Source organism: Homo sapiens, chromosome 8 (assembly GCF_000001405.40).
Source record: "Homo sapiens chromosome 8, GRCh38.p14 Primary Assembly".
NCBI classification, from domain to species: Eukaryota; Metazoa; Chordata; class Mammalia; order Primates; family Hominidae; genus Homo; species Homo sapiens.
In genome coordinates, this window is record NC_000008.11 from 144,428,732 (window position 1) to 144,444,893 (window position 16,162).

Sequence of the window (16,162 nt, forward strand, 5' to 3'; positions counted from 1 at the left end):
ACCCCGCCCACCCGCCTGCCAGGCAGCCACGGGGAGGGAGGCAGCAGCTTCATTTATTTTATTTTTTTTTTTTTTTGAGACGGAGTCTCGGTCTGTCGCCCAGGCTGGAGTGCAGTGGTGCGATCTCGGCTCACTGCAAGCTCCGCCTCCCGGGTTCACGCCATTCTCCTGCCTCAGCCTCCGGAGTAGCTGGGACTACAGGCTTCCACCACCACGCCCGGCTAATTTTTGGTATTTTTAGTAGAGACGGGGTTTCACCATGTTAGCCAGGATGGTCTCGATCTCCTGACCTCGTGATCCGCCCGCCTGGGCCTCCCAAAGTGTTGGGATTACAGGCGTGAGCCACCGCGCCCGGCCAGCAGCTTCATTTATTAGGGGCTTCGGTGAGGGTGGGGAAAGGCAGCGCCAGGGTCAGAGGCGCCGAAAGAAGAGCTTGGAGCCGTGGTCCAGCGTGCACTCGCCGGGGCCCGGCCGACTGGGCTGCAGCTGGCGCAGGGCGTCCCTGTCCTCAGCGCAGAGGCGTCTGCTGCACAGCTGCAGTTCCCGGAGCTGCGCGGCTATCTTGTCCCACAGGCCCAGGCCCAGGGGACCCTGGACGGCGCAGCCTGCGGAGGGGAAGAGGGCAGACCTCAGCGCTGCGGGGGCCGGCGGCGTCCTGGTGCCCGCGGCAGGCTCCAGGGAACAAACTCGCTTTCGCTGAGGGCCCCAGGGCTGTAGCGAGGGGCAGTGGGCAGAGCTCCGGAGAGGCCCCATGACTCTCCAGGAAGGGGTGGGATCATCTGCACAGCCAGCGGTCAGACAGGAGGAAGGGTGGCTCCCTTCTTTACCTCTGACAGTGCCCGATCTCAAAGTCCATGCCTACACGTCAGTCTCCCCACCCATAAGAAGGACATAATGGATCTGCTTGCAAATCTGTACATCGTGGGCCTGAGTGGATCAAGAGAACACTAAGCTCAGGAATTCAGGGAGCTGGGTGGGAAGGTACAGATGCCAGGAACTGAGGTGTGGGGAAGGGGTCTCACACCAGCACTCGGGGGCCTTCCTGGAAAAGGCGGCCTGGCCCTGGGAGGTGAAGGGGAGGGGGCACAGGAAGAAAGCAGAGCCCCGCTTCGTGCACATTCACTTAAGCCCTCATCCCCTGGAGGGCACAGCCTGCCCCGGCCCCAGTGGGGCAAGCCAGGTCATCAAAGCCCTTCCTGGGGTTGTCTTCCAGACAGCTCAGGTTGGGGACTGCCCTGATGTGGCTCAAGAGAGAACAAGCTAAATCAGACCACAGCCCTGGGCAGGGTTGTGTCAGAGGAGCCCCTGCCAGGAAGTAGGAGGGTCCCTTGGCAGCTTTCAACACCCTGACCTTGGGATCCCTTTTCCTGCCAGGGACAAGAAGAAAGTCCCTGTGGAACAGGGTCTTGCCTACCATAGTCTGCTCTGAAGGTTGGGTTGGAGAGACCAGAGGCAGATACCCACCTCGCCCCCTAACCCATGGTTTTAGGAGCTGGGATCATGCCCCTTTTCTGTCACTGTCACTCTGCCCCCTGCTGCCCCAGCCTCATGGAGCCCAGCCTTGCTGCCTGGCTGGTAGCAGTGACAGCCCCTTAGGAGGAGGCACCTGGGTCTCAGGCAGGTCCCTGAAAAGGCCGAACATGGCAGGCGTGGCCACCATACCAGCACTCACCTGACAGGCCAAGGAAGCTAAGGCCTTGGGGCCGCTTTTGGAGGGTGGACAGGAGCTCTTCCAAGCTGGCACAGCTGATCTCAGGGTTGGCAGACAGATCCAGTGAGATGAGTGAGGGGCACAGAGAGAGACATCTGAGATAACATGGGAAGAAGTGCAAAGGTTGGCTTCCAGAGAGGCTGTGCCCCAACACTAGGAAAGCTGCCCAGACAAATGCCAGCTCAGGGAGCCTCGGGCCAGACCCAGGGGCTCTGCCTCAGCCTGGCCCAGTAGCAGGTGGCCCTCTAGGGTTGGGGGTCCTTCCCAGGGGTCAGGGCCACAGTGGCCAGCTCTGGGTGTGCCTGGCCCAGCTTGGGCTCCTCTCAACACTCCCCAGAGAGCTGACTGAGGCTCCAGGTCATAAGAGCAGTGCCCTCATGTGGGCCGAGGCACAGGAATGACAAGGACACCCCCGGAGGAGTGCTCTCAAGAGCCACAGGCCCATGCTAAGAAAGAAGCCAGAGGGTAGTCTGCCTTCCAGGGCAGCCTGAGAGGCTGGTGGAAACCGAAGGAGCCAGGTCTTGGGATGTGCTGGGGAGGAGGAGCTGGTACCATTTCTGTGGCCCTTCTCCCATAGGGTCCAGAGCCATGAGATCAGACCCCCAGGTCAGCAGGCAGCAGGGAAAGGGCGTTACCTGCACAGGTCTCTAACAGCCTTGTCCCCCAGGTGGTTTGCAGACAGGGTCAGGTGGGCTAGAGCACAGCCTTCCTGGACATGAGCAGAGGCCCAAGGGGGCCAAACGGAGTGGCGCACCTGCCCTGCCTGCTTCCCAGCAGGTGCACCACACCCAGGGGCCCAGAAGGGAGCAGAGTCCCCCATCAAGTTGGAGATCGGAAGGAAACACCTCTCCTGATGTGGGTCACACTCTGCACGTGATAGTGTGAAAATAATAGGGTCCCAGTTGTGCCTGGAAGACCCCCCAGGAGAGAGCATCAGGGGCCCTAGTGTGCCCCTTGGGACCTTCCTGGCGGGGGGCAAGATCACCCTGAGTCCCGGGTCCTATCTGGTGGGCAGGAATTCACAGCCTGAGACAGGCAGCTGTACAAAAGCATTCCCCCAGCTGTTTTTTTCTTTTTTTGTTTTTTTTTTGAGACAGAGTCTCGCTCTGTCGCCCAGGGTGGAGTGCGGTGGCGCCATCTCGGCTCACTGCAAGCTCCGCCTCCCGGGTTCACGCTGTTCTCCTGCCTGTCTCCCAAGTAGCTGGGACTCCAGGAGCCCGTCACCACGCCCGGCTAATTTTTTGTATTTTTTAGTAGAGATGGTGTTTCACCATGTTAGCCAGGATGGTCTTGATCTCCTGACCTCGTGATCCGCCCGCCTCGGCCTCCCAAAGTGCTGGGATTACAGGCGTAAGCTACCACGCCCAGCCTGTTTTTTTCTTTTTCTTTCTTTTTTTTTTTTTTTGAGACGGAATCTCGCTCTGTCACCCAGGCTGGGTGCAATGGTGCAATCTAGGCTCACTGCAACCTCTGCCTCCCGGGTTCAACCAATTCTCTGCCTCAGCATCCCGAGTAGCTGGGATTACAGGTACCCGCCACCACGCCTGGGTAATTTTTGTATTTTTACTAGAGACAAGGTTTCACCATGTTGGCCAGGCTGCTTTTGAACTCCTGACCTTGTGATCCACCCCCTTCGGCCTCCCAAAGTACTGGGATTACAGGCGTGAGCCACCGCGCCTGGCCCCCCAGCTGTTTTTTCTAAACCTCCAAACCTCTAACTCTCTCTGTAGAGCCCCTCAGCGAGTTCAGCCCGAATCTGGGGAGAGGCGAGCTCCTCCCAGCAACCCTGGGACCTTTGGCCTCTGAGGCTCAGTATTTTCTGGGTTCTTCCCCACCTCGTACCTTGGCCAGGTATCGGAATACAGGCTCCATGAGGTCCGAATCACCCTTGCCGGCTGCCACGGAGCTGAGCTCTAAGTGCAGGAGGGTGCCGGCGGGCAGGCTCTGCAGGGTCCTGGCCAGGGCAGGGGCTCCCAGGGCGTTGTAGGACAGGGACAGGGTCTTCAGGTGCTCAGCATCTGCACCGGGGCCAGAATCCGTCAGCCCCACGTGGCCACAGCCCTGTACCCACCCCAAGTTCTGGGCCCAGAACCCTCAGGACCCCTTTGGGGAAACCACTACCGCAGTGCTCGCAGGGTGGGGTGGCAAGTGCAGAGGCAAAGGCTCTCGCCCAGATTCTCCCAGCTGGGAGGGCGGGGCCAGACTTCCAAGCTCGGCTGCCCCCAGTTCTGGACAACTTGCCCTCTCCCACCCCACAACCACACGGTCCTGGGCCACATGCCTCTGCACAGTGGGGGTGCCAGGGGAGTGCACTGACCATTGCTGCCCCCCTTACACTCCCCCTGGATGACACCCAATTCCCAGCCTCTTGGCACTGGGACCCCAGTCTCTGCAGCCTGAGTGGGCTCACAGTGGAACTGCCTCAGGCGAACAGCACTCAGCTGGCGAGCACGGGATGGGGACCACAGGACACTAGCTGCCCGGACTCTGCTCTCGGTGTGTCCTGCGGGGGTCAGCCTGGCTGGGTGGGCACCAGACGCCCCTCGGAGGCAGACCCTGTACCCACACATCCATCTATTGCTCCCAGGTGCCAGGCCCTCCCGGAGAGCCAGGTCTGGCATCCCAGGCCCCTAGACGTTGTTTGTTTCGTTTTTTTGACACGGAGTCTTGCTCTGTCGCCCAGGCTGGAGTGCAACGGCGCGATCTCGGCTCACTGCAAGCTCCGCTTCCCGGGTTCATGCCATTCTCCTGCCTCAGCCTCCTGCGTAGCTGGGACTACAGGCACCGGCCACCACGCCCAGCTAATTGTATTTTTAATAGAGACGGCGTTTCACCGTGTTAGCCAGGATGGTCTCGATATCCTGACCTCGTGATCTGCCCGCCTTGGCCTCCCAAAGTGCTGGGATTACAGGCGTGAGCCACTGCGCCCGGCCTAGACGCTTTTTTCTTAAGGGATGGGGTCTCACTATGTGGGCCAGGCTTTCCTGGAACTCTTGGCTCAAGCGATACTCCCGCCTCAGCCTCTCAAGTAGCTGGGACCACAGGTGTTGCCCCTGTGTGCCCAGCCTGGGCCCCCTCTGAAAGTCCTGGAAACCCTCAATGCCCCAGGGCTAGGGAGTGGACAGGGAGTGCCTGGTCAGCTCACCTTGGAAAGCACTACCCAGTGCTGTCTGGTGGCTCAGAAAGAAGCTGGGGCCGAAGCCACACGCCTGCAGGCGCAGGGTGCTGAGTAAGGGGCAGGCGTGCAGGAGGGAGGCCAGGGACTGGCCACAGCCGTCCCCCAGGGGGTTCATGCTTAAGTCCAGCTCCTCCAAACTCTGTGGAAGACACAGGCTGGCAGTGAGCCCCCAGCAGTCCCACGGACAGGGTCCCCCTTGGGGCTTGGCTTGGCAGTCTCTTCCCCACCTTGCCTGGCATAGCCTATTACAGCCGGGCACTGGCTGGCTCTCCCAACTACCCTAGACCACCCAGGGACCTGCAGAATGGGAACCCCAACTCCCCGCTGTTGAGGGCCTGCTGCTCTCTGTGCCTATACCTGCAAGGTGGCTTGGCCTGGGAGCCCCATGGCAAGCTGGCGCAGGCCTTCGGGACCCAGGTGATTGGAGGAGAGGTCAAGGAGGGCCAGGCTGGGCATGGTGCCCAGGGCAGCCACCAGCTCAGCCACACACTTGTCCCCCAGCCGGTTCCCTGCCAGGCGCAGCTCCCGGAGTGCTGTGTGCAGCTTGAGGGCCCGCAGCAGGGGTGTAAGCTGGGCCTGGTCCAGGGCCAGGGAGCAGGCGCTGAACGAGAGGCCCAAGCCCTGGAGCTCCACGGCCTGCAGCACCTGTTGGTGCTCCCCTGCGGGAGGGATGTGATGTCACCAGGGTAAGGCCGGCCCTTTCTGCCCTCTGAATCCCAGAGGGCAAACCAGGCAGCCCCTTTTCAACAGCCCCAGGGGTCACCCACCAGACTTGCTGTAGAGCCCACTCGCACATGCCTGTGGGTCTAGCACTGTGAGGCCCTGGGGGCCGGGGTGGGTCTGCAGCACCCTGAGCTCCACCAGTCACTGCCAGATTCCACACCCCCCGGGACAAGCTTTCTGGGAAGCTTCCCCAGCAGCTCCCAGCCCATGCCAGGCCCTCCTCCTTGGGTTTGACTTTCCAGGCTTTCGGCTGCTTTTTGCCATCTCCCTGTCAGCAGATCATGGGGGCTGAGGGCTGTCCTCTCCCTTCCACCCACACATCCAAGTGCAGGACACAGCACCCACCAGGCTGGGGGAGGTGCACCCCAAAACACCCGAGGCCCAGGAATGAACCGGGCTGGTGGAGCCTGTGTGCCCAACCCCCTTGTACGACCTCACCCAGAAACTGCAGCTCTCCTGGCCCTCACCTTGCCCCAGGCTCTGGCAGGCCCTGCGGTAGCGGTCAGTCAACGGGGGCAGGTCCCACGAAGTCACCTCAGCCAACACCTGGAAGGCACCGTCATGAGCCACCTGGGGGCTCCCCCGGCTCACCTCATCATTGCTCTGCAGCCATGAGCCACCCGGGGGCTCCCGGTGCCTGAGGCCCTGGCTCCCCCTCCGCTCTGCGGCTCACCTCGTCATTGCTCTGCAGCACATCAGGGATGAGGTCCTGTGGGGCCAGCAGGGCCCCCTCTTTCCGTAGGGTGAGCCTGGGCAGCAGCCCGCAGGTCTGGTAGTAGCGCTGGGCCGCCTGCTCGGCCAGCCAGGCCACAGAGTGGGTGTCACTGCTGCAGGGACAGAGGCGCTGCTGCTGCTGCCTGCACACAGCCGGGGTAATGCCCCAGGGACCCGCCATCCCTGCCCAGGGCCAGAAGCCCCCTCAGCTGCTTCTCCCATTCCCAGGTAGCCGGCCCCTCCTCTCCCTGCAGCCCAGCACACCACCAGCCCCTCTGCTATTCCTGGGGGCCACAGGATCCTCCTGGAACACACCAGGGAGCCCTCGTCACACGCCCCACCCTGACATGCAAACACGAGCACCCTGGCATGGAGCTGCACAGGTGGGCTGCGGGGTAGGGCAGGCGATGCCTCACCTGTGTGGGACAGGGATGAGGAAGAGATGATCCTGAACTTGAACTCGAACCCGGATGGGAGGGGGCGGGGCCGGACCCTGGCAGGTGAAGGCAGCAGGGCTGAGTCAGGAGCCACAGTGGGCTCCACCCTACACCTGCCTGCCCGGAGTGGGGAGAGGGCTCTGCTCCAGGTCTGCATACCCACCAAGGGCTGGCCTGCCGCAGAGCTGTCCCCACTGGGCTCTGAGACCCTGGGGGTGCTGGGGCTCCCTGGAGGTTCTGAAGCCAGGCTGCTGGGCCCTGCGTTAACTGGCGCACTGCAACTCTGCATGCAGGTCAGGCGGACCTGCTTGGCTCGGGCACGGGGCCTGCTCTCCTCACTGTCCGACCCAGAGGTACTACTGGGCCTGCGGTTGTCTCCAGTGCCCCGGGGGCGGGGCCGGCGGCTGCGGGTCAGGGGCATGTCCAGCTCCAGCCAGTCCCCGGCCAGGCACTCCTCCTCCGGGATGAGCGCTGCCTGGGGGGCAAGGGCTTTGCTGTGGCCCCGCGGTGGGCCAGGCCCCAGCCGGCTCTGAGCACTGCCCACACCCCGGATGGCTGCCTGGTAGGCTGCCCGGCTGGTGCTGGCTGTGGCTGCTTCCCTGTTGCTGGCGGGGCCAGGCGTCCAGGCTGCCACCCGTTGTGCTGTGGCCGAGCACCGAGGCCTCTTCTGGGACGGCCGTGCGGGGCCTGCGCTGTCCTCGCCTTCTGAGCTGCTGCTGCTGCTGGCTGGCCCATGCCTGCTCCTCCGAGGCCTGGCCATGGCTGGTGCCGCCTGCCCTGGGGAGACCCTGACATGGGCCTGAGAGGCCTCTGGGAGTCTAGTGCTATTAGAGGGGGGTTCTGGGCAGGGGCTCAAAGGAGGAGAGGTCTCGGGGTCAAACAGAAGGCTGCTTGGGGTGTGGAAGGCCTGGGAGCTGTGGGGATCTGTGGGAGAGAGAATGCGTGTTGAGGCAGGGGCCCGGCACCTCCCGCTCCACCTGTGATGGAGCATCTCCCGAAATCAGGGCCCGGGGACTCTCAGCGTAGGCACAGCAACCCCAGGGACAAGGGACGCCCTGCTTGCCTTGGCCCGAGGCAGCCGCCTGGAGCAGCATCTCCATGGCCCTGGCCTTCTGCCGCGTCTCCAGGTCCAGGTCCCTGCGGTACAGCTTCACCCACTGCTGCAGCGTCTCCAGCGGGCTGAGGCCCTGTGTGGCATCAGTTGAGCAGGGGCACAGCAGCCCCCATAACCTCGCCCTTGCCCTCTGCCCCACCAGGCTCACCTTTCGAGTGCGGAGGGTGACGGACGCCCCCCGTTCAAGCAGCAGCTCAGCCACCTCGAAGTGGCCACAGTTGAGGGCATCGTGGAGGGGGGTGATGCCTTCGCAGCCCTGGCCACCTGGGTCGTCCACTGCGGCCCCGTGGTCCAGCAGGAAGCGGACAATTTCTGCAGACCAGGAGACGTAAGCCCAGCTCCCGATGCCCCGCCAGGACTGACTCTTCGCCCCACGTGTCCACCAAGGTGCGCCAGGCTCCTTCTGTCCCTTGCTCACCTAGATGCCCGTAGTTGCAGGCCTCGTGCAGAGGTGTCCAGCCACAGTAGTCCCGAGGGTTAAGGGGGTGGCCCTGTGACCAAGGACAGGAAGGAGCCTGGCCCTGTGTACCTCACAGCCTGGCCCCAGCCCCGTGAGCTCTGCAGCCTAAGCTGAGCCCAGGGCCTCAGTCTTAGAGCCCAGAGCAAGTCCGTGGCCCTGCCCTCTCCTCCTCCGGCCTAGGTGTCACCAGTGAAGGACATGCTTCCCCCTGAGACAGGTGGACCAGCCACAGCATATCCTCCGCCTCTGTGCCTGCCCGGTCCCCTTGTGGGGAGACAGTGCACCTGGTCGCAGGGGCATGAGGCAGGCGGGGCGGGAAGGTGCCCAGATCTCAGCCCATGGGCTAGCCCCCATCCTGGCCAGGCTGACCAACTTAGCTGTAACACAGATGCATACCACACAGCAGGTACCCCATTTTTTTTTTGAGACCAGCCAGGCTGGTCTCAAGCTCCTGACCTCGTGATCTGCCCACCTTGGCCTCCCAAAGTGCTGGGATTACAGGTATGAACCACCGCGCCCAGCCTGGGCACCCCATTTTTTTGTGTTTTTTTTTGAGACAGAGTCTCGCTCTGTCACCCAGGCTGGAGTGCAGCGGCGCAATCTCATCTCACCGCAACCTCCGCCTCCCAGGTTCAAGCGATTCTCCTGCCTCAGCCTCCCGAGTAGCTGGGACTACAGGTATGTGCCACCATACCCAGCTAATATTTTTGTATTTTTAGTAGAGACAGGGTTTCACCATGTTAGCCAGACTGGTCTCAAACTCCTGACCTCAGGCAATCCGCCCGCCTCAGCCTCCCAAAGTGCTAGGATTATAGACATAAGCCACTGTACCCGGCCTGTGGCTTTTCTTCTGAGACAGGGTCTTGCTCTGTCACACAGGTTGGAGTGCAGTGGCAAGATCATGGCTCACTGCAGCCTCCACCTCCTAGGCTCAAGCAACCCTCCCACCTCAACCTCCAAAGCAGCTGAGACTACAGGCACACGCCATCACATCCACCTAATTTTTAAATTTCTTGGAGACAAGGTCTTGCCAGGGTGCCCAGGCTGGTCTCGAACTCCTGGGCTCATGTGATCTGCCTGCCTTGGCATCCCAAAGTGCTGGGATTACAGGCATAAGCCACCCCGTGCAGCCTCCGCTTTTTAAATTTTTTTGAAACAGGGTCTCACTGTGTTGCCCAGGCTGGAGTGCAGTGGCATGATCGCGACTCCTGCAGCCTCAATCTCCCTCCCAGGATGAAGTGATCCTCCTGCCTCTAGGACCACAGGCAAGTGCCACCATGCTTGCTAAGGGGCCCCATTTTGAAGATGAGGAAGTTGAGAGTTACAGAGATAGGGGATCCGGCACAAACGCACAGCTCCTCCATGCTAGGCAGCCTGTCCCACGTCCCAGAGCGGGGCCCACCTGCCTCACAAGGTCCTGGACGCGGCGCAGCTGGCCCTCGATGCAGGCTCGGTGCAGCAGGGTCTCCCCCATGTCGTTTCGCCGGTTCCACTGTGGGCACAGCCAACCCAGCACAGGGCAGGGGCGTGAGGAGCTGGCAGGGCTGCTGAGCGGGGTGGGTGGGGGCAGGGCACTGTCCTCACCTTGCTCCCCTTCCGCCGGCCCAGGTGGCCCTGAAGCTCCTCGTCCTCCTCCAGCTGCGGGGTCAGGCCATCGGTGTCGTCCTCTGGAACAGAGCCAAGCCCACCCCAGGGGAGTCCGTGGGAGGTGAAGGTTAGCAGCCCCCACCCTGCTGCAAGCTCCCCAAACTCCCAGGTACAAAGGAGCCAGAGACGGGAGGGCTGAGCTCTGAGGCTGCTGGGCTCTGGGGGCTCCTCAGCAATGGTCCCAGCGCTGCCTCCATGTCTCCCTGACCCTGCTGGGACCCTGCTCCTGCCCACCATCCCTCTGCCCACTTGAGACACACCCCTGAGCTTTCTGCCCTAACCCACGCCTGGCCCTCCCACAGAAGGCCTGCCCGAGGCCCCCTCTGTCCATGCGCCAGCCACTCATCCCCACGCCCAGACCGGCTCGTGGGCCAGTCTTCCTCCACCCCACGCCTTATCCACCCCCATCTCCTGAGCTGTGTCGTCAGGCCAGGTCAGCCCTGGAGCCTGGGTATCCTGCACCTTGCAGCCTCCACCCTGCCTAGGCAGCAGACACACCCGCCTCCGTCCCTGCTTCGGGTGACCCCTCATCACCACGCCCTTCACACCCTGCCAGCTGCCTCTGGGTCTTTCCGCAGCTCCTCACTGTGCCCACCAGCTGAGCAGCATTCCCCAAAATTCTAGATCCTGATCCACCTCCCCCCAGCAACCAACCTGGCAAGGCCCCAACTTCCCACAGCTGCCTGGCCACTCAGGGTTCTAACGACGCCCTCGAGTTCAGAGCTGAAGTCACAGCCTTCCCTGGAACACCCCCCAACAGGCCTCATGGACAGGCTCCTGCCACCCACCACTCAGTCAGAAACCAGCCTCCCAGCTACCCGCTAACCCCGCTCTCAGCCCTCTCTCCCTGCACCACGGCCAAGATGGCTTCAGTCCAAGCCCCGCTCCAGCCAGTCCCTCATGCCTGCCCTCCGTGCAGCTGATGTCGCCAGCCTCTGGAGGAAACCCAAGCCTGCTCTGAAGGGTTTCAGGAAGGTGCTCAGCTCTTGCAGAGGCAGCCGGGGCTCTTCAAAGTGCACCGTCTCACCCCTGGCCCCAGATGGCACGTGCCTCTCTAACGGGACCATGCCCCAGCTGACACTCACTCGACTCCCAACCACTGTCTCCTCCAGGAGGCCAAGGCCGCCCCAGGCTCCCTGCGGGTCACCACCTTCTCTGTCCAGTTCCGGGAAAGCACTGGCCGTCCTGCCTGCCTGTGGCTGTTCCTGCTACAGCCCTAAGCAGGCTCCACAGCAGCACAGCACACCCCTCTCCAGCCCGGCCCAGAGCAGGCCCAGGGAAATGCAAGGTGCCGCTGGCCCTCACCGCCCTCTGAGAGCTCCACCTCGCCGGCCTCCAGGGCTTCGCTCTCCGCTGTGGCTGCCGCCTCCTCCGCCTCCTCCTCCTCATCTTCATCTTCAGCTACACTGAGCTCCCGTAGTCTGGTTTCGGTCTCAGGGGCCTCCTGGGGCTGCAGCCTCAGCTGCACGGTATGGAGATGCTGCAAGACCTGCCTCTGAGGAGCAGAGGGATGCTCAGCTCAGGACTGGGGGCTGTGGACGCAGAGAAAGATGGGGATGGGGCACAAGGGGCAGGCAGGCTGCAACGAAGCTGGGCTCACCGGGGAGCCAGTATGGGTGGGATGGGCTCTCGCACCTGCAGCTGGGGACGCTGGGCCTGCTGGGCACAGCTGAGCGCTTTCTGGAAGCACGGGGCCAGCAGCTCGTAGGCATCGCCGGCCTCCTCGCGGGACAGTGCAATGTTCAGCCAGGTCTTGGCCTCCTGGAGCAGGAGGAAGGACAGGGTCGGGGGCTGCCGCTGTCTGCGTCCAACGGGCCCCAGTCAAGCTTCCCCGGCTGCCCAGACGAAATGGGAGCCCGGCCTCCCAGCTGCCGAGGGTGGATGGTCCTAGGAAGGAGCTGCCCGTCCAGTAAGGACACCTGTCCATGGCCACCCTGAGAACGGCAGTCCTGAGGCAGAGACATGGGTGAACCTGCATTCGGGCGGGGAGCAAGGGTTTCACCTCCAGCACGTTGCCGCTGCGCAGCCTCAGTTCCTCCTCATAGTGGCGCACGGCCCCATGGTGGTCCTTCATGTCTCCCAGTGTGGTGGCCAGGGACACGTGGATGATGGCCCGCTCAGCACCCGGTCTGTCCAGCAGCTCAGCAAAACGCAGCTGGGGGCAGTGCCAGTGAGGCCAGGGGCTGCCACCCTGGCCAGGCCTCGTCAACCTCACTGGCCCTTCCCTCCCACCCAGCCGGGGCCACACACCTGCTTCTGGTAAGCCTCAGCTGCCCTGGGAAAGTCTCCTGCCTTGGAGAAGAGGTCCCCTAGCTGCTCACAGATGACCATGGCACCCTGAGGGTCTCTGCCCTCAGCCTCTTCCAGCTGTTGCTGCAGCCGGACCACTGCCAGCACTGCCGGGAAGAGGTTCATGCAGGGGGGCAGCACAGGGGGCCCTGACCCCAGCTCTACCACCTGCAAGCTGTGAGCCCTGTGGTGGCCCCCCCACTCTCTCCACACCTCTGCCTGCCTGTTGGTGTGGGGGTTAATAGCAGGGTCTATCTTGGGGACTGGTCTCAAGGGTCACAAGAACTAACACACTTAAAAACTCGGGGCCAGGTACAGTGGCTCACGCCTGTAATCCTAGGACTTTGGGAGGCCGAGGCGGGCAGATCATGAGGTCAGGAGATCGAGACCATCCTGGCTAACATGGTGAAACCTCGTCTCTACTAAAAATACAAAAAATCAGCCGGGTGTGGTGGCGGGCACCTGTAGTCCCAGCTACTCGGGAGGCTGAGGCAGGAGAATGGCATGAACCCGGGAAGCGAAGCTTGCAGTGAGCCGAGATCATGCCACTGCACTCCAGCCTGGGTGACAGAGCGAGACTCCGTCTCAAGAAAAAAAAACAACACAACATGGATGGTGCCTGGCTCAAAGTAAGGGCTGACGGCTGCCAACCTCCAATGGTGGTCTCTGCCATCAGCACTCCTGGACCACGCGTGCCATCTCCTCTCCCACCCTGGGAGGCTAGGGGTACAACTACTGTCTCCAGTTTGCCAATGAAGATGGTGGCTGCGAAATAAAAGCCCAGCTGGTCTCCTGGCCGCCCTTTCATTGCCCCTGACACACTGTGTTGAGCTCAGAGAAAAAAGGGGGTCTTCTCCTGTCAGGAAGTAGGGGTACCTGCCCCTCTTGCTGAAGCTGCTGCCTCCAAGGACAGGTGCTCAGGCCTCCTCTGTGAGGGAGAGAGCCCTGTACACACCTGGCGGGACTCCACCCCGCCCCCAGGCTCACCCCTGCACACACCTCCCAGGGCCCCATTCGCACCCCCAGGCTCACCATGCTGGAGGTTCTGACAGATGGCTGCCCTCTGCACAGGCTTCTGGGAGCCCAGCCTGTAGGCCTTCTTCAGGGCTCGCTTGGCAGCCAAAAAGTCTCCCAGGTCTTGGAGGACCTGGAGAGCAAAGGACAGCAAAGGTTTTGCAGAATCCCCAAGGCCCGAATCTACGAGAGCCTGAGCTCGGAGCCACGCACAGCGGGTACCTGTGCAATAACCACGCAGCACTCGCTCTCCATGAACCGCTTCCTCATGGTGTGCGCACACTCCCGGGCACCCTCCAAGCAGCGCATAGCCTGGGAGTGCTGGCCCGCGCGCCAGTGGATGGTGCCCAGGTTGTAGCGGGCGCGGAATAGGTCCTCGTAAAGGTGGTTCTGCCTGCAGAGGGGTGACGACCACTGAGCACCCAGGAGTGTCCATGACAGCTGCTGATGCCACACGGGCCCCAGCCCTGCCATGCTGTGGTCTCAGGGCCCTAACCATGCCTGGCCTTCTCCCAGTGTGTGGCACAGGTGTGAGAGGTGGGGGGATGAGGCCCAGCCAGACTGCTCTCTCAGGAGGACTCTGGGAAAAATACTCCCCTAACTACTTCCTCCAGGAACAAGGGACTCCACTCCCTCCTGGGGCGGGGCAGGGCCTTACTCCGCAAGGAAGATGCTCTTCCTGAAGTAATCGTTGCACAGGGCTGTCTGCTGCAGGCTCTCAAAGGTGAGGCCCAGGTTGAGATAGAGGCGGGTCCTCATCTCATTCAGCTCTCCCTGGGCCAGTGTCCCTGGAAGATACCCCCCCAAACACTCAGCCACTTCCTCCCCACATGGGGTTTCCAGCTTTGGGCCCCATTTGGGGCCTGTGCAGCGCCTCTCCTACCCCCTCCCTCCTCCCGAGGTGGGTGCAAGTGTCCTGCGGCAGATGGAGCACAGAGTGGATAAAGAGCTGACGATCTCCAGGGGAAAGGTTGAGCGGGGCATGCACCCCTCACACAAGAGCCTTGCAAAGGGAGGGCTCCAGAAGACGGGATTGCCCAAGGAGGCTGCGGGGGTGCTGGGCTGCAGCCTCTTCGGCCCGAAGTTCAGGAGGCAGAAAACGCGGAGGGGTCTGCCCACCCTCCAGCTCCTCATCCACAATAGCCAAGCTCTTCTCAAAGGCAGCCTGTGCCTGCAGCAAAGCATCCCTCGACTGGCAGTGGTCATAGATGTCCAGGTGGGTGCGGCCGATGGTGGCCCAGGCCCTCTGCAGCTCCGTGTGGTTGCGCAGGGAATGTGCCAGCTCCAGGTACTGGTGCTGGTGCTGAGTGTGGAAGGAAGTCACTGCTGTGAGCCGACTCCGCCTCAAGCAAACCGGCACCGCCAGATTCCCAGAGACCCTGTTCTTGCTAAGGAAAGAGCCTGCTCCCCCTAACCCCCACAGAGCAGGCCAAGGCCAGACACGTGCCCCTCCTCTGCATGCCAAGGGCTCTCTGTGGTGACAGTGGCTTCACGCTGTATGCAGCCAACGCTGTCACGTGGGGAGGGGCAGCTGGGAGTTGGCGGGGGGGTTGCAGTCCTGCCTCCAGCAGCCAGGGTCAGGGAGAGCTTTTGGGATGGGGCCTGACCTCCCCCAACACAAACACAGCTAAAATAACGTTCAGTAATGGTTTCTGGTGCCAGGAAACCTACTCCTGCCCCAGTCCCAGGAAAGGCTGTGGGGTCCCCACCGGAGGACTGGCCCGGGGCGGTGAAGGCAAGGCTGCGTCAGGTCAGGTGTCCCCTCCAGCCCGAGGCTCCTGACGGCGAAGACCAGGCCTCCCTCCTCAGAAAAGGGCTCCAGAGGCCGACCGGGCTGGACGAGGCCAGTGAGGGCGCCCGCACCTGCAAGGCAGCCGGGTAGTCCTCCATCTCGGCCAGGCGCTCTCCGATCTTGCGGTGGGCCACGGCACAGCCCAGAGGGTCGTCAGCGCGCTCCCGAAGCTGCAGCTCCTGCCAGTGCTGCTCCAGAGCCTCGGCGTAGCGGCCTAGGCGGGGGCACAGCACGGCCTGGCAGGCGTCGCGGGTGCGAGGGCGGCCCTGGGGCGGCGTCTGCCGGAAGAGCCCGTCGCCCCCCGGCCCCCGATCCCGGCCCGGGCCCGGGCCCCGGCCCTGCCTCCCGCCTCCTGGTCCCGGCGCTCACCATGGCCGGCCAGGAGCTCCCCCAGCTGGTGGCACAGCGCGGCCTCTTCGCGCCGCTGCCCGGCCCTCTGCGCCTTGGCTTTCGCCTTGCTCAGCTCTGTGGGAGGAAGAGGAGGGCTGGGCCTCCGCGGCGGGGTCCGGGGCCGGGGCCGAGTCCCAAGCCCTCCCCAGCCTCCGCGCCCCCGGAGGAAGGGGTCCCCGAGGAACTTACGGCGAAGCTCGCGCTCCAGGCTCATGCTCGGATCGCCGCGGGATCCGGACTTCCCGCGCTGCGCCGCGGCCCCGCCCCTCGCCGCCGACACGCAGGCCCCGCCCCTCGCCGCCGACACGCAGGCCCCGCCCCTCGCCGCCGACACGCAGGCCCCGCCCCTCGCCGCCGACACGCAGGCCCCGCCCCTCGACGGCGGCGGCGGGCGCGGGGCATTCCGGGAAGTACGGTCGGCCCGCCCGCGGCATCCTCGGAGTTCTCGTGCGGGAGGAGCTGGGGCGGGGTGGCGGCGACAACTGGGGCGTCCCACCCTAGGGGCCGTCTTCCCGGACGCCGGGTTGGCCCGCGCGTGGAGCCCTCTGCCCGGCCCGGGGAGTGCCTGGTGGGGACCCCGTTCCTCCTCGTAGGCGGCGGGGACGCGGGAGGCCGGGGGCCCGGAGCCAGCCCGTCCGGGGTCGCAGCGCGCCCTGGGTGGGGTCTTCTGGGCTGCAGCCCCCGTGCCGCCCG

The 16,162-nt window shown here is 63.5% G+C and overlaps 1 protein-coding gene, 1 long non-coding RNA gene and 1 other non-coding gene across 6 annotated transcripts, besides 2 other annotated features; 1 reads left to right on the forward strand and 2 right to left on the reverse strand.

The window, feature by feature from the left end:
- TONSL (tonsoku like, DNA repair protein) lies at positions 44-15,709 on the reverse strand. 4 transcript variants are annotated; one of them, NM_013432.5, is made up of 26 exons: positions 15,659-15,709; positions 15,449-15,544; positions 15,151-15,293; positions 14,407-14,590; positions 13,946-14,075; positions 13,510-13,681; positions 13,306-13,420; positions 12,235-12,380; positions 11,987-12,139; positions 11,620-11,745; positions 11,290-11,479; positions 9,922-10,004; positions 9,740-9,829; positions 8,296-8,368; positions 8,026-8,189; positions 7,827-7,950; positions 6,927-7,687; positions 6,743-6,819; positions 6,286-6,439; positions 6,080-6,158; positions 5,247-5,548; positions 4,857-5,028; positions 3,554-3,729; positions 2,347-2,420; positions 1,673-1,806; positions 44-605 (listed from the first exon to the last, which is right to left on the reverse strand). In NM_013432.5, the coding sequence occupies exons 1-26, from the start codon at positions 15,681-15,683 to the stop codon at positions 412-414; spliced, it is 4,137 nt and encodes a 1,378-aa protein (NP_038460.4). In that variant the 5' UTR covers positions 15,684-15,709; the 3' UTR covers positions 44-411. The 4 variants fall into 4 exon arrangements, with proteins under 4 accessions (NP_038460.4, XP_011515351.1, XP_011515350.1 ...); XM_011517049.3 differs by lacking the exons at positions 12,235-12,380; positions 13,510-13,681; positions 13,946-14,075; ... (2 more) ...; positions 15,449-15,544; positions 15,659-15,709; XM_011517048.3 differs by lacking the exons at positions 12,235-12,380; positions 13,510-13,681; positions 13,946-14,075; ... (2 more) ...; positions 15,449-15,544; positions 15,659-15,709 and having other exon boundaries at positions 11,987-12,175.
- TONSL-AS1 (TONSL antisense RNA 1) lies at positions 6,437-11,162 on the forward strand. Its single transcript, NR_109770.1, has 6 exons — positions 6,437-6,709; positions 8,020-8,264; positions 8,968-9,015; positions 9,497-9,602; positions 9,946-10,051; positions 10,745-11,162. It is a non-coding gene; the product is annotated as a TONSL antisense RNA 1 (long non-coding RNA).
- MIR6893 (microRNA 6893) lies at positions 6,820-6,888 on the reverse strand. The gene has a single exon (NR_106953.1). It is a non-coding gene; the product is annotated as a microRNA 6893 (primary transcript).
- Positions 14,601-15,109: an enhancer, noted in NCBI's record as "H3K27ac-H3K4me1 hESC enhancer chr8:145668715-145669223 (GRCh37/hg19 assembly coordinates)". NCBI's record gives its function as "activates a minimal SCP1, AML or CMV promoter by ChIP-STARR-seq in naive H9 embryonic stem cells {active_cell/tissue: H9 hESC(naive)}" and the evidence as "EXISTENCE:reporter gene assay evidence [ECO:0000049][PMID:30033119]".
- Positions 15,355-16,124: a silencer, noted in NCBI's record as "silent region_19685". NCBI's record gives its function as "represses an Ori minimal core promoter by ATAC-STARR-seq in GM12878 lymphoblastoid cells {active_cell/tissue: GM12878}" and the evidence as "EXISTENCE:reporter gene assay evidence [ECO:0000049][PMID:35858748]".

Excerpts from the sequence above, each read along its gene's own strand:
- TONSL (NM_013432.5), bottom strand. The coding sequence starts at position 15,683 with ATGAGCCTGGAGCGCGAGCTTCGCC. Across the intron at positions 5,549-6,079 it reads CTGCCAGAGCCTGGGGCAAG|GGGAGCACCAACAGGTGCTG; the intron begins GTGAGGGCCAGG and ends TCCCTCCCGCAG. Across the intron at positions 2,421-3,553 it reads TATTCCGATACCTGGCCAAG|GAAGGCTGTGCTCTAGCCCA; the intron begins GTACGAGGTGGG and ends GCTCATGTCCAG.